Raw genomic sequence first — 17,108 nt, 5'->3', positions numbered from 1 at the left:
ATGTTTATAGTGGCACTATTCACAATAGCAAAGACTTGGAACCAACCTATATGTCCAACAACGATAGACTGGATTAAGAAAATGTGGCACATATACACCACGGAATAGTATGCAGCCATAAAAAATGATGAGTTCATGTCGTTTGTAGGGACATGGATGAAACTGGAAACCATCATTCTCAGCAAACTATTGCAAGGACAAAAAACCAAACACCGTATGTTCTCACTCATAGGTAGGAATTGAACAATGAGAACACATGGACACAAGAAGTGGTACATCACACACTTGGGACTGTTGTGGGGTGGGGGTAGGGGGGAGGTATAGCATTAGGAGGTATACCTAATGCTCAATGACGAGTTAATGGGTGCAGCACACCAACATGTCACATGTATACATATGTAACAAACCTGTACGTTGTGCACATGTACCCTAAAACTTAAAGTATAATAATAAGAAAATGAAAAAAAAAATTCAGTTTCATTCAGTTGTAGGGTCAAACTCCCCTTTTCTTGGTGGCTATTAGCTAGGTGAAGCCCTTTATACTTGGAGGCCTCTGTCTGGTCTTTGTACTTGTGTTCGTATATCTCAGAAACAGCCATGACCCATACATCCCACTCACAGTTGTAATCTCTGAGTTCTCCTGCTGCATCTCTTTCTGCTTCTGGCTGAAAAAATGTCTCTGCTTTTAAGGGCTCCTGTGATTAGATTGGTTCAACTCAGACAACCCGGAATAATCTCCCTATTTTAAACTTTATGACTTAATCAAATCGGCAAGATCTCTGACATAGATTCACAGGTTCCAGGGATTAGGTTATGGGAAGCCATTATTTTGCCTGCTTCAGATTTAATTCAAAGAGAAAAAGAGCATTGAATGCACTTACACAGGGTAGTGACAGAATCTCATACATGTTTTAAATTTATGTAGAAGACAATTCTTTCTTTACTGTGAATTAAACAGAATTTGATGCATGACTGGTTTAGGATTATATCCATCATACTGTGACTCTGGGAGTAAGGATTCAGCAAAAGAGCCTAAAGTGAAGGGGTGGGTGGTCATGCCATCTTTCTGGTCATTGTGGATCCTCCCAGACTAGGAATTAATGGACGCAGACATCATAGGGTCCTTTTCTCTAGAGAAGGGCTAATGAGGCCAACAGTAGATAGTGAAGAATCCATCTCACCATGTAACCAGGACTCTCAATTGATGATCTTCCTAATACCCCTTAAAGGAATTAGAAAATTGACGTACCTTCTCTCATATATATGAGTTGACCTCTCCAATTTTTCATTATGATATTAAATGTGCAAATACTACATGGTTTCTGTCATCTCTAATATTTTAAAATAAAGTTGCTATATTAATTCTTAAAATATGTCAAATGGAACCTGACCATAATTACCATATACCCACAATAATGTATTTAAATAAATGAACAAACTCTGTTTTTAACATTTCTTCATTTTACCCTTAATGATTTCAACTTAAATTCATATTTCCATTACCATCTCCTTTGGACTTTCTTTCCAAATTATGTACTTTTATGGAAAAGTTTTCTTAGACCAATAAACATGTATAGCTCATATTTTAGAAGGTACTTTTAAAAATCTTTTGACCACAAGGCACTACATGTTAAAAAAAAAAGTATTCTGTCTTAGGGGTCATTACAATTGTTATTAATAAACATTTGATCCAAACACCATAGATTAAATAGTAAAAAACTGTTGGCCAAGTATGATTTCATACACAAATGAGAATTTTCAAGAATGTATTTTCTGTATTCAGTGATGCATGTGATTGACTGATAGATTTCAAAAAATAATGTGGAATCCTATTTGATATCTTTATAGATGAAATCACTAGTGATCTTGTCCCCATAAGTAAGTAGAGGGAAGAAAAAAGGTTTTGCTGTAGTAATTTCATTCAAATCTTTGAACTTCTTTCACATCATAAATCTATAGCCAAATAGTGCTCTATTATATAAGTATTTCTGGAGATTGACTCAACCTAATTGAGCTATTGACTCAATTAGGTTCTCTGTCATTGAAAGAAAAAGTTAGGAGCTTTCTGACTTATAAAAGGATTTGTTATTCTATACCGAAAAGACTTTCCTAAGATTTACCAAATGACTATTAATCATTTCTGTGTGTCTTTCACAAGAGGTACCTTGTTTCATCAAACGTGCCCATAATCAATTGGGAAAATGGAATTTTATTGTTCATATTTTTGCTAACATCTTTGCAAAAACTTGTTTTCTATTTGATAAAATGCATTTATTTTGCCATGTGCTTTTTGTGATGGACATAGAGATTCACAATTTCTTTAAGGAAGGACTTGCTGCCCAGCCTTGGGAAGTGTGATCAGCACAGCCCCTCCAGCTCCCAGCCCCATCAGGATCTGCCTTAGCTGCAGCGAGCCACCTGCCTGAAGGACACATCCTTCCCAGGGCAGCCCACATCTGGTCCTGAGCCAGGGAAGGGGGTTAAGACCTCTCAACTTTGGCAGACACTTCTTGCTCCAAAACGGCCTTAGGCAATGTTGGACTTTCATCACAGTTCAGCTTCTTCCCGGGCCCAGTCTTGTTTCCACCACCTCTTTTCCACTTTTATTGATTAAAAGTAAAACATTTTGCATCCTAGATTTTACCTGCTTCTGGAGAATCCCAATTGTGGAAACTTTGAAAATAACTTTGTCAAAACCTTGGGCTTTGAATTTAGCTCTTTCTATTTATGGAAAATATCTAAGCTATTTAACTTAGCTTATAGCGAAGTTAGTAAGAAAATTATTTACTTTCTGTCTGAAAAATCTTCCTTCATTTTATATTTCAAGTAAGCACATTAAAATGTTTTTTGAGAAAGATTATGTTTAAAAGTACAGAAAGAAATTATTTAACAAGTCTTATGTAATGGTGTATTTAAAATGGTTTAGATAAAATTCTAAAAATTTAATAAAATTTAAGTCTTCTTTTTATGTTACAAATCAAAATAAACTATGTTACTTATTACTTAAATGATAAAAATGCAATATAATGCATAAATAAATGAGATTATTTGGGAAGCAACAAGTATTAAAAAAGGTATATTTTTGGTTACTCTGCATGCTTATTTATTGAACTTTTGTGTTTATCTCCTGGGAATGATTGAATATAAACAAAATTTAAAAATAGGAATATATATGTCTTAAGAACACCATGATAAATATTTTACTATGCATTTAATGAAAGTTATATGATACTAGAAATTAATTGTTCTGAAAATTTGCATACAATTATACTTTCTGTTACTAGACGGTAAATATTATTAAACAGTATATAAGATGACACAAAATAAAGATCGACTGTATTTGGAACAAATATTTTATGATACATTTTGCTAAAATAGTTTTTATCTTTAGTACTGCATAGCAAGTATGAATGAAATAATGTTTTACCCACTGATTTTATATATAGAATATTTGGAACTATTTTGCAGTCCTAGAAAATATTCTGATTATATTTAAAGATTCAGCTTTATTAACTTCCACTGCTCTGGCTGTTTGAAGGAGCTTGTCTTTGCAGCTAGTGACAAGTTCTAATGATGAGGCTTGAAGTAGTTGTAAAAAACTGCTTATGTTTAAGGCAGATCCAAGCTTTGTGGATCCTAAAGTTTTTATAAACTTTGGTGGGTGGTGTTTGAAAGACAAATGATGTAACAAAAATAAAATATAATTATGTGTGAACATGAGTATTTAGAATGAGAAAAAAATTATAACATTACAAATTTTAAAAAGCTGATAAAATCACAAACATCACAAAATCCACTTGTGTCATGATACTTTTCTTAATTAACTGACTGCATGTTACACTTCTATAGTGTTTTTTTTTCTAAATTTTTTTTCTGTAAACTCCTTGAGGGCTTTGCCATATAATAAAAATTTTGTAATATAATTTTCTCTATAGAGGAAATAGATAAATCAGTCATTATGTTGGTCATTTTGTTTTTCAAATAGTTGGGCTGTGTAAGGCATATAAATTGACTTATAGACATACTTGCTCATGTTAGTACTATTTCATGGTTGAGCTTAATAAGTATGAGCTTCGTGATCAATTTCATTTCCCAGCTTGCCAACAAAAAAGAAAAAATATTTTTTGATTGTTTTTATACTGAGTTTTCTTAAGAGAATTTATATGTTGATCATATGTGAATATTTGAATGAGAATTGAGTGCTTGTTTTATCACTTCTCAAGTCTGATGATTGGAAGAATTTTCAGTAGACTAACTCTGGCACTGTATAGTTCAAACCTCATTCCTCCTTCACTACCCACATATTTCCAGGTTCTTTAGGGAAACTTTAACATCATGACCTGACATTGCAGACAGGATGATAGGTGAGTCAGCATAGAGCATGGGAAAAGCTTTCCTAGAAGCAATCTCTCCACCAGACAAGCTGTTTAAATATTTAACAATATGCTAATGTGACTACAAACCACATGAATACATTCCCAATGACAAACTGAATGTAACTCCAGCTCAACTTTTTCTTGGGTGCATCCTGAAAATGCTCACAGCCAATGAATGCCAATATACATATCAAGATGCATGACTGAAGGAGTTAGTATGGAAATGAATGGTGATTTTAAGAGGTTACAGTTCAACTAGCTCCTTCTATAATTTTTACAAATGCATATGACGATGTAAACACACTGCTAGTGCCCCTCTCAGGGTCTTGGAAGAATCCCATTCCAATAGAGGGTCCTTGAAGCTTAAGCCTTAGTAGCTTCAAGGTAAATCTACATTAATATTAAGCAGATAAAATTATTTTAGTGTTCAATGTTTCTTAATGATGGTTTGTACTTTATTCTCAAGGGGCTTTCCCTAAAGAGAAATGCATTCATACATGATAGTGCATTTGGTAGTGGTGGTGGTGGTGAGGAGTAGCTAGATAGAAGGATTAGATCTGGGAAATAAACGTCATTACTCTCACAATCTCACTCTACCAAACATTCATCTCAATTCATTATATTCCAAGTTTCAATGCCTGTTTGAAAAGTTTTTTGCCTCTAACAGCAATACTACAAGGCAGGAAAATACTGGAAGCCATTTTGTGAAGTATTGATTAGTCATTAAGCTTTCACCTTGTTTGCTCCCTTCAGGGAAGGGTGAAGCTTTCATCCCTTTACTCTCCTTCTCCCCCCTCTTCCTCTCATCTGTCAAAGAAAACCAGACCTCTACAGTAGTTAAAGCAGTGAAAGTCAAATTTTATTCAGGACCATTGCAATAAGGGAAATGAGATCTCAGTATAGTACTGGGCTCAACTCTGAATACGGCATGGGCGAGTGGGAATTTATTGCCAAAGAGAAGGGTGAGGGTAAGTGGATGAAAAATTTACTAAAAATAAACATCTGGGATAGAGGGGATTCTGGCTAAAGTGACCTAGCAGGATATTTGATGAAGAGATGCTGGAATGATTCATCATCACCTGGGGGATGGTGGAGGATAAGGAACCTGATTAAATATCCAAGGGTGATCAGATATGGAGGATAAGGGGTTTTTGTTAAACTGACAGCAGGGGTCCAAGAAAGTACACAGGCGGAAGTAAGAGAAGTTTTGAGAGCCTGACTAAAGTTTGGTGAAACAAAGAATCTTTGGCACTCCCTTCCTCCCTCCCACCTCTTCTCTCCCTCCCTCTCTCCCCTCTCCTCCTTCCTCTCCTTCCTTCCATTCTAGCTGGCCGAGGGCTGATGTGACCTCTGAGGCTTTCTCAAGATGGCCTTTTGGAAAGTTCTCAAGAATCTGGAAGTCAATTTTCTGAATACATACAGGGTGCTTGCACAATTTGCAGAGTCCTATGTACCCCATTTTAAAATGTGCCATAGCCAGAAATTGACCAACTCTTTCTATAAAGGATCAGACAGATAGTGAATATTTTAGGCTGTGGGCCACAGGTCTCTGTAGCAGTTACTAAACTCGATACTTGTAATATGAGATCAGCCATAGACAATACATCAATGAATGGATTAACTGTGTTTTATAAAACTTTCTTTATAAGGAAAAAAAAAAAGCGGTAGTTTGGATTTGGCCTAGAGCCCTAGTTTTTTGACTGACCCCAGCCTTAGACTACTAACAGGTCTGATGACAAGTGGCATTATGTACCAGCATTTCCAGAGAAATCACTGGAAGTTCCTCAAAATTTAAAACTAGCACTAATTTCTGTTATATGCACAGCCTACAGACAATTCGTCAGTGATTCCCAAAATAAACATTTCCAATAAAACAAGTCTGCAATGTCCACCTGGGGATAGCAAGTCTGTGATATTATCAGGTTAGAAAACATACTATATTTTTATTTTTTCAAAAAGCTTCATGTCAGAACCTAAGACGGTCCAATTAGAAAAAGAATGTGTTTAAACTGATTTTGGCAAAATTTGTAAATGTTGCACAAGGTCCAAGTCAGACTGAAAGTACTACAAATCAGTGTTGTTCAATCAGCACTTTTTGGTGAGGTCAGACTTGGACCCTCTCAGCATCCACTTTGACTCACATGTGGTTTTATCTCTGCCACCCAGGACGCCTACTTGATATCAAGTGACAGCAGAGGTCATTTATAAGAAAGTCCTGGAGAATTTCCCATCCACCAACCAGAGCTATGTTTATTGTAACAAAAATTCACCAACTAGGATAGGATCACAGCTCCATAAAAAGCCTTCTGTGTGTTGGAAGCTAAAATGGGGTCTTTGAAAGCACAAGAGAAGAGACATTCTGGTAAAAATAATTAATAGAACCATGACAAAGATGACTATAGCCCAAGAGGATCTTTCAATATTGATTGAATTTGTGCCCGATGTCCCAGCATGACTGTGCATGGGGAAAGCCATCTGTATTTCATGGATCAGGCTGGCAGGCCACTCAAATCAGGCTTTAATCCAACTTCAAACCAAGAGAGCTGGGAGGAAAACAGCTTCAGACACTTGAGGTGATGGCCAGAAATGCTCCAGATGCTTGGCATGAGAAGGATTATCAATTTAACATGGACTTTTAGCCACACACCTGACCTGCAATCAAAATCTGTTGTTAAAATACTTCCATCATGTTCTGGGGTCTTTAATGTTCTGAAGAAGTGATTTATTCTCTCTGAGATATCTGTCCACACTAGTGCTTTGGTAGTATTTCATGATCTGAAAATCAGATATCTATTTGTGTGACTTAATAAGAAAGAGAAGAAAAGGAGAGGATACATACCATGTTTTCTGTTGTGCAAGTTTATTTGTACAAATATAAGCATTTAAAGAAAACAAACATAAGGGTTAATGAATCTTGTTAACCACATTAAAGAATATACAGAATTATGCCTGATTTTAAAAATATAAACTCCTCATTCAATTGGAAGCTTTGTTTTCTCAATCCAAACTATTAATAATCACTGCTGAAACAAATCCCAAGGCTCTGTCCAGATTTGGGAACTAATTAACATTCAGTTAGCACTTGCCATATGCCTGTCACCATTGTAAGCATGTAGTAACTGATTTAATGTTCATATCATCTTTCTAGGTGGCTACCATTACCGTGCTCACTTTACAGGTGAGGTTCAGAGATTTATGTAACATGCCAAAGGTCACACAGCTGGACACAGCAGAACCAAGATTCAAATCTGCACAGGTAAGCTCCACAGCCTTCTGTCTTATCTAGGACTTTCCTAACCACCTTGAATATTTCATTTTAAAATTGATACCTTATTGGCTTATAATCTCTGCCAACATTTTGCTAAAACCCTTTCCTACACTATACAACCATTCCATTTGTTTAGAAATTCATCAGAGGAGAAATATTAAGTGGCTTTCTTTGTGACACCATCAGAAATACAGCTTCCCAAATCTTTCAACTGAAGAAGTAACCAAAAAGATATCTGAAGGACAGAGAGATGGAGAAAAGGAGAGGAGATAGAAAAAGGAAGAGAGAGAGAAAGCTCAAAATAAATTAGTATATATGCTAGCAAGATTCCTCCCAGTAGTTGTCTTTTTCCAATTAGAAGTGACTTGCACAGTTGCAGTACCACCTCTGTTAACCCCGGCTCACTGCCCTTCCAAACCATGTCTTCTGTTACTCTCAATCTATGTCGAATAGTCCCTCAGCTCTCATAACGGGACCAAATTCATGGCTGCTTCCTGATACAGCTGTGTCCTGTTACAAGGCTTGAAGTTACATAATGTAAGTTTACTCCATTGTAAGTTTTACCAATGCATTTAACTTAACAAGGTTCTAAAACTGTCATAAAGTTATTTACAACAGTTACTGAAAAAGATCATCTCTGAAAACAAGGAAAAGCTGTTCTTTCTCCCACACCCACACACAACCTGAGGTTCACCAATGAATGCATGCTCAGCTTCTGTCCTCCCAAGCATTTCATAAGATAGGGTTTTTGGATTTTTCACCTTTATGCACGTGCAATTAGCTTAAAAATGTCCACAAAACTGTGTAACTTTTAAGCCTTTTTTTTCTCCTTTACTGAACTATGTATTGAAATGTGGAATATGGAAGGTTACAGGGTTCAGAATCAACAAACCTAGAGATAAGAATAGCTATCAACACCAGACAAGATAGAGGACTATGACAGAATTAGAAAAAGGGGAATGATAATATGTGTGTGTGTGTGCGTGTGTGTGTGTTTTGCAGTTGAATATTGCATTACTATCCCAGGGCTACTGCAACAAATTACTACAAACTGGGTGGCTTAAAACAACAGAAAAATTATTCTCTCAAAGTTCTGGGGACCAGAAGTCCGAAATCAAGGAACTGGCAGGGCGGTACTCCTCCTGAAGGCTCAAAAGGACAATCCTTTCCTGCCTCTGCCAGCTGCTAGTGGCTCCGGGAGTCCCTGGTTTGTGGCTGCATTACTCTGGTCTCTGCCTTGTCTTCTCGTGGCCTTCTTCCCAGTGTCTTCCCATTTCTGTTTCCTATTAGGACCCTATCATTGGATTTAGGGCCCTCACACTAATCTACAGTGATCTCATCTCAAGATCCTTACCTATATTATATCTGTAAAGACTCTTATGTCAAATAAGGTCCCCTTCTGAGATTCTGGGTGTTAAGACTTGGACATATATCTTTGAGACCCAATTCAATTCACTGCAAATGTGTTCTTGTTTATAAGTTACATTTTTCTCTGAATAGTACCATTCCTTATGGTTATGGAGTTAAAACACCCTTTCTTTTATGAAAGGATAGTAATTTTGTTTGTATATTGTATTAGCCTGTTCTGACATTGCTATAAACATTGCTATAAAAAAACTACCAAGACTGGGTAACTTAAAAGAAAAAGGGTTTAATTGGCTTATGGTTGTGAAAGCTATACAGGAAGCATGGCTCCGGGAGGCCTCAGGAAACTTACAGTCATGGCAGAAGGGGAGGGTGGAGCCAGCATGTCCTACGTGGCTGGAGCAAGAGGAAGAGAGAGCAAAGGAGGATGTTTGAACAACCAGATCTTGTGAGAATTTAATCACTAGAATGCACTAGGCGGATGGTGAAAAACCATTAGAAACCAGCCCCACAATCCAATCACCTCCCACCAGGCCCACCTCCAACATTGGGAATTACAATTTAACATGAGATTTGGGTGGGGGCAGAGCTGTATTATATATGTATATAATATGTATTGTTATATAATACATATTGTTATATAAATATATAATAATGATTTAATGTTCATATCATCCATATTATATATGTATGTGTATATGTGTGCATGATTACCATATTATATATGTATATGTGTGTGTATGATTATATGATTATATATGTATGTGTTATATATGTATTATATATGTATGCGTATATGACTATATGTGTATCATAGTACTTTTTTGACAAAATTAAAAATCGACAATTCAATATCAGTTGTCACATTAAAACAAAAATGCTCCAGGAAATCCCAGTCCAGATGTGATTACAAACCAACCCCACCTTTCTGAGCCTATTTCGTTATCTTCAAATGAGATAATGTCTGATTTTTATATATTTGACTTTCAAATAATTTGCGCTTTGTACATAATACATGGGGACCTCTGAACACGTTTTCTGAAACACATATCTGACTTTCTTACACCAGAAGACCAATAAATATTTGAAGCTATTCTCCAGTGACACTGCCTGCGATTCAGGTCTTCAATTGGGGCATTTCACCATCTTTTTTTTACAGTAGGTGCTGTGGACTGAATGTTTGTGTCCCCTGAAAAATTCATACGTTAAATCCCTAATCTGCAAGATGATGGTATTTGGAGGTGGGGCCTTTGGGAGGTGATTAATCATGAGAGTGGAGCTTTCAAGACAGAATGTGTGCCCTTATAAGATGAGATACAAAAAATCTTACCTTTCTTTCTTCTTGTGAGGACATCTTGAAAAGACTATCATCTGTAAACCAGGAAGAGGGCCCTTTTCAGACACTGAATCTTCTGGCACCTTGCTTTTGGACATTCCAGCCTCCAGAACTGTGAGAAATAAATGTCTGTGGTTTAAGCCACCTGGTCTATGGTATTTGTTATGGCAACCCAAGCTGACTAAGACAGTAGGGTTTGTAAAATTATGTGAATTTTTTGTTTGGCATTTAACGATATGTTTTGAAATAAGAAAATGATAACATGAAAATAAGACTCAGTCTCAAACCTAATGGAACTAGACACAAGGAAGAGAAGTAGGTAGGCTGAAAGGGTGACATTTAGTCTCAATTGGACACACAAAGTGTGCAGATGTGAGTCTAATTTGAAGTAAAATGACAGAATTAATAACTATATATAAGTGGTGGATAAATAGCTTCAATGATTACATCAACAAAGTGCATCATGTTGCAGGTCCATCGTATATGTGCATCTTGAATAAATTTATTTCCTTCGTATAACTGTCATTTCCATTGTCTGACATATTTAGGGATTTTAACGTGGTATGAAAATAGGGCACTTTCTGTGGTTATAGTCATAATCATAGCAATGGATTAGTAGTAGCAGAAGTTCCAGTATTAGTAGAAATAGTGAAAAACAGTACAACAGCAGTAAAGTAAAATAACGCTATTGTATTACATTAAATGTGATAATGCACACAACGTTCTATAACCTATTAAGCTTGAGACAAATGTTAATTATTTTCTGCATTGTTGTATGGTCTCCATTTTGCAATAAATGCTCAATTATGCATTGATTAATTAGGGATGTCTTATTGACCTGCTTGGTAACTTAGTTCTTACTCGTACTTTACTAATCAGAAAATTAAGCTCTTCAATCCAAGGTCAGGCCTCAGGAAGGGGTGGATGAGAGCCAAATTTAACCTGCCGCTGGTTAATGATTTTATGTTTGAATATAAAACCTGCAGGCTTGACATGCAGTCACCTTCCTTTTGCCTTGTAGCTGAGTGTTCTACATGTTTATGTCGTATGGCCCCTGAAAGAATTCGTATTTGAAGCTCTGGGTAAGTGGTTAGGAAAGGACCAGCTGCAGGCAACAATGCGAGTGTGCCTTATTTCCTCAACTGTAAGAAATTCCAGCATGTCTAGAGGTTAGCCATGACCTCTCTTTGGTCAGGATTCTGCTGTGATGAGACAGATGATTGCCAATTCACGAAGGCCACTTTACTAAATCTGGGATGTCTGATTTAGTGTCTGCAGGAATCCGTTGCCCAACTATCACACATAGTCTACTCTCCCTGGAGTCCTTCTTTATCTACTGTTGCTTTTATTCTTTTCAAATGTATGATTAAAGGAGTTGATATGAGAGTTACTTGAAACTAGAAATATAAAGGTAAATATATAAAAATTTTAGATCCATCGCTGAGTCTATATCAAGTATTAACATCTGGTTCTAGGTCAAGCAAGGTTTTCTTTCAATCATATTTATTCATGAATACGTTCAGAAACCATTATGAAGCCAAATGTATGCTAGCCAAGCCAGTCCGCTCCATGATGCCTCCTGTTGTTTTTGCTGAATAGTAGTGGAATAAAATGGACTTGTGCTTTGTTCTTTCTTTGCTTGTTGTTAGAAAATGCTTTCTTTCAAATCTGAACTGGATTAAAATAGTCCTTCTGACATACATCAACCTGAGTTCCTTTCTTATAAATGTGTGAGTTGGACACGAGGGAAAATAAATTGTGGGTCAGGAAAGTCCCCAAAACGTAAGCTAAATGAAAGATTTATCTCACTTAGGCCATTGAAGTCATCATCACTCCTTCTAGGGGAGATGGAAACTTGACATTTTATCTTTGTAAGAGTTTTGGACTGAGTAATAAACTTTATTGAATAAATCCCAGTACCCATTAAAAACTCTTGAATCAGCTCTCTTGTAATAATTACATTGATATAACATCTAAGACAATGTTTTGCACTCATTTCTTTATCCTATTCCTATTCCATTTTTACACAGAATAAAGAAGTATGTGAATATTTTAGTGAATTAAAGGACATAATCAGGACATTGGAGATAAACTATGTTTTTAAATCATCTTAAAGGAGTTATTTGTAGTGCTACTAAATTTTTTAAGATAATCTAGAACCAAAAAGCTTGTATATATCTTCAAGAGATAAGAAGTTTAGATGAATTATTCTGAGAAATGAGGCTTACTTAAGCTTTTTTTTTTTTCTCCAGTAACAATTGGCAGATGATATCAAAGTATTATAAAGTAAAAAAGCATGGCCCACATATACATAGAATGGTTCTCATAAAAAATTATTCTCATGAAATCCATATAGAATGAACATATATCAAAATCTAACTCATTAATGATAGAACCGGAAGAATGGCGGATCCAATAAGCTTTTGAGGACCAAAGGTTTATAAACACGCTCAGGTAAAGCATACTGAAATAGTTGACTAAGTTAAGGACAAAACTGGTTAAGTCTTATAGTGTTTAGTGTTTGGAGTTTTCTTCTCTATAGCACAGATATTACTTGTATCTCTGTAGGAAGAAAACTATGAGTTAACATGTAACCTCCTGGACTCTAGGCTCTAATCAATGGTGAAAAGCAAACTAGATAAAGGTAAGTCCCCTAGAGAATTAAGCATTGCTTGGAAGTGCCAGTGTTAAAATTTGACACTAAAAGAACATGTTGTCATTCTTTTGCCTTTTTTTCAAGTTGGGCATAAGTTTCTTAAATAGTTCTTCCAGGGATCATAAATAACCTTGAAAGTTTATTTTTATTGACAAAAAATGCTGCTCTTATTCTGGTTTTGATGAATTAAGTTATAGATGTGCAGCAAGAGGTGTTAACTAACCATATTAACCTCCTTGCTAATGGTCAGCAAATCCAGAGGCTCACAGGGTGGAGCAAGAACAGAGTCCAGAGAATTAAGTTGGACTGGAAAATTCATAAGGAATCTCAGATTGCATTTTCAATAACATCTATTGTCCTTGAGGATTTTTAAAAAATATTGCTTCTATTGGATTTTCTATTCCAAGGTTGGGAAACCAAATGCAAACCTGAAACATTCATATCTATGGGTTGCACCTGCATTTCCTATAAATTTGAGAGAATTCCTTTCTCCTCAGAGTTTGCCAAATCAGATTAGGTTCGGCTTGTCCATAAAAGCTGAGACCTTTTAAGACAGAGTAGATATTGTTCCAGTTTCTGGGGAAGGTTTTGTGAGCATCAGTTCCACATATGAAATACAATCCATATTCCTTAATGATGTGTTTGTCATATCTAATTACCATGAGATTTATTCTCCAATATGTTACTTCAAGTATAGCCTCAATTGCAGCATCAATTTGTCCAATTATATCCTGGTTAAAAGGAGATCAAATTCTTGCAAATAAGTACATTTCCAAGAAAATACACAGACTCGGAATACATACATATGAATTTACATATATATGTAATATGTATATAAATTAATATATATGAATATATAAATAATATGTATTTATGAATAAATTTAAAACATATATATAAATATATAAATTCACGGTCTGAGTGAATAAGATACCATTCACAAAATAAGGATTAGAGAGATATTCGAGTGAGAAGAAACAACTTTTTCTTTTAAATATGACAGTTGAACACAGAGCTAATACCGTGAACATTCTAAAAAAAAATAAGCACAATTAGATTTCTCTCATCCATTCCATTCTTGACTATGTAAGTTAAATTTTGATCTTTTGGGTTTGAGGTTAGCAGTAAGCTTCCATGAGGTCGTCTGCTTCTGAATGAAAATGGGTCCTGGAAATCTTGACTCCATCCCTTTGGACTATCTCAGAGTTACCTAAATGATTCTAGCTCAAGCTTGAAAGACTGTTCCCATGAGATTATTTGTCAAAATATCAATAGTCAAAAGCACCTTATAGAGTTCTTTTAACTGAAGCATGTAGACTATTCTTCTTTGTTAAAAGCTTGATTTCTAGCCTGTGGCTTATAACAAAACCTTCAATCATCAAGCCCAAATGGATGTGGTTAGTTTATTATGGTAATCAACAATATGAGAACAGAGGAGAGCGAAATTCTCTACTGGGTTATAAGATTCAGATCAATGTTTCCTCTGAGGGTAAAAACATGCCAAGGCCAGCAAGGGCATGACAAATCTATGACATTTATAATCTCTAAAATATTTGTACTTGCTGTATTTTACCTACACAGAATTAGTTTGGAGTAGGCTGAGCTTTTCCTTTGATTTGATAAACTCTTAGCATGCAGCTCCTATACTTGTTGGAACAGCTAAGAAACAGGGGACATATTAATTAAGCAAACCAAGTTAGTTCTAACATCTCTCTTGATATAATGTAAAAGAAGAATTTTTTTGAGTACCTACTGAAATATAGTTTTACATGTAAAAGATACTTAACACACATACACATTTCATAAATATGGAGTTTGATCTTGATAAGGCAAAATCAAAAGATTTATCAAAAGGTATTTGGTCTCTTGATGAAGATAGAGGCATAGGTCTGGAGACTATTAGCTAGATTACCAACTCATCAAAGTAACACTGCAATATTTGAAATAAACTTAGAATGTAAAACAATTAGAAGGAAACTTAGCTCTTTCAGAAGTGAAGAAATTATGTCCTTCTCTTTTTTTCATCTTTTAAATCGTGGACATAAAATTCTGCACATAGCACATCTCACAGCAATCTAGTGAGATAGAGAATTTGCTATCTGCGTGGGCGATACAGAATGTAAACACTAATCTTTTACTATCTCTTAGAGATTACTAAATACTTCCAGACCATTTGTCATTTTAACATAGAGAAAAAATTCTAATTTGCATTAATAAAATATTTGGCAGTAAAGGAATGATAAACTATAAAAAACTAATCAAAATGAGTCAAATTTGCAACATTTTGACATATTTTATATTTCTTATGATAATTTCCAATTGTTAGAAACAAACACAAATAAGATTCACTGTTTTCAAAACTTTTATAACTTGATATAAAAACTCATTTTGTTCTTTATAATAATTTCATATTGGAACAATCTGATCCTTAATATATGATGAAACTACTCTCTTTATCTCTTGAAAAGCAAAAATACAACCCATGAATTATATACACTGTTGTATTACTCTGTCTTATTTAGAAGCTCTCCAGATCTCTCTTTCAGTATTCTATCTCACTTAAAAAGTTATTCAGATGTCCAAAGACTATTTACCAACTCAATTTCACATTATATATAAAGGGTTCAAGTTAACTAAGGTTTTTTTGCAAATAATATTTAATTAGATACAGTTTAGAACACGTGATGTTGATGTAAAAATGTCAGGACGATAATTAAACATCATTTTACATTTTGTTAATTTAAATATTTTACAGAAAGACTATCAGCTTATCTGAGAACTCAATAAGTATAAGAACTTTAAGACATTTATAATTATAGTCTTTTCATGGAAAAATTACACAATCATAATGTTACAACATTTTCCAAAAAATTATTAAGAAATGAAATGTATACTCGCATTATGTGCCACATTTTTAGCTATTTTTAAACCAATATTAAAAACCAGTTTAAAGAGTCAGCTTGATTAGATGGACTAAATTCTTATGGAAACGCTTCTGAGCTTTTATTTTCTATGAAAAAAAGATTATTTCAAGTCTGGCAAATTTAAGGTATTATAACTTCAGTTTTCTTATTTTCTTGGGATTCTGGAAATATTAATGCTAACACTGAAATCAGAACAGATATCCTTTATTTGGAGAGAATTTATAATTAAATTTATTAGTGCTCTTCAGAGGTAAGGAAATATTTCACATTTACACAAGAGGGGGTATGGTGTTAGTTCTGTGACAGACAGTCAGATGCACAGAAAGGGAGGAGCTTCCACCGTGCAACTTCAGCAGGAGGTCACGTTAATTATAGAGAACAAAACCCATCGGTTCAGTTGCAAAGAAAAGTTTCACTTTCTAGTGGTTATGAAATTATTCTTTAAATTTGCTTTCAGTTCACAGATAGACAGGTAAACAAATGAAAATGAGTAACAAACTCATGTACGTCTGTATGGACAGACTAACAGACCTTACCAAAAGCCAAAACAAAATTAAACTAAACAAACTAACAAAGAAAACCCCACAGAATTAGAAGGAGGAAGGGGGAGGCAACAGCAAAATTAAGAATCAGTAAAGGGTAAAGCCCTAGCATTGCTTGGGATTTACTCCTAGGACCCAAAGAAGACCTCCCTAGGTTTAAACAGCCCATAGGTGCATTTCTCAGAAAATCAGCTTTGATTGGCCCTGGCAGTTGAATCTATTGGTGGGCATGTCATTGGGAAATCCTCCAAAAATGTCCATGTATAATTTCTAAAAAGTGAAAAATAGGAATCTTATATAAATATTCAATACATATATGCAAAAATTTAACTTATTGAGTGAAACAGCAGTATGAGGAAAGCTGATTCAAAAAACCCTTGAGAAGCAAAGTATATATAGCCCATCAGGAAAAACATACTGAAAGTGTTTGCTAAAATAAAGGCAAAATTGGTTAATGTCCTACCAGGCAATGAAACAATACCATTTGGGATTATCTTCTCTACCTGCCTAAATTATTTGCATCTCTGCAGACAAAAATCTCTAAATTAACATGAAATGTGACAGATTCTAGACTGTCTAATCTATAGTAGAAAGCAAATTAGAAAACAAAGCCTCTAAATAATTATTTGAATGTGCTATTA

The 17,108-nt window shown here is 35.0% G+C and overlaps 1 long non-coding RNA gene across 2 annotated transcripts in view; it reads left to right on the top strand.

The window, feature by feature from the left end:
- Positions 1 to 17,108, top strand: part of LINC02296 (long intergenic non-protein coding RNA 2296) — a 268,818-nt gene that overhangs the window by 199,452 nt on the left and 52,258 nt on the right. The window contains exons 4-5 of one of the 2 annotated variants that reach the window (XR_007064293.1): positions 7,525 to 7,632; positions 10,359 to 12,047. This is a non-coding gene — a long non-coding RNA (long intergenic non-protein coding RNA 2296). Of the gene's footprint in view, positions 1 to 7,524; positions 7,633 to 10,358; positions 12,048 to 17,108 lie in introns of those variants that run through there. The other variant, XR_007064294.1, reaches the window with a different exon arrangement.

This window comes from Homo sapiens, chromosome 14 (assembly GCF_000001405.40).
Source record: "Homo sapiens chromosome 14, GRCh38.p14 Primary Assembly".
NCBI classification, from domain to species: domain Eukaryota; kingdom Metazoa; phylum Chordata; class Mammalia; order Primates; family Hominidae; genus Homo; species Homo sapiens.
Note: the sequence above shows the minus strand (reverse complement) of the source record. Positions and strands in the feature narration are given on the sequence as shown.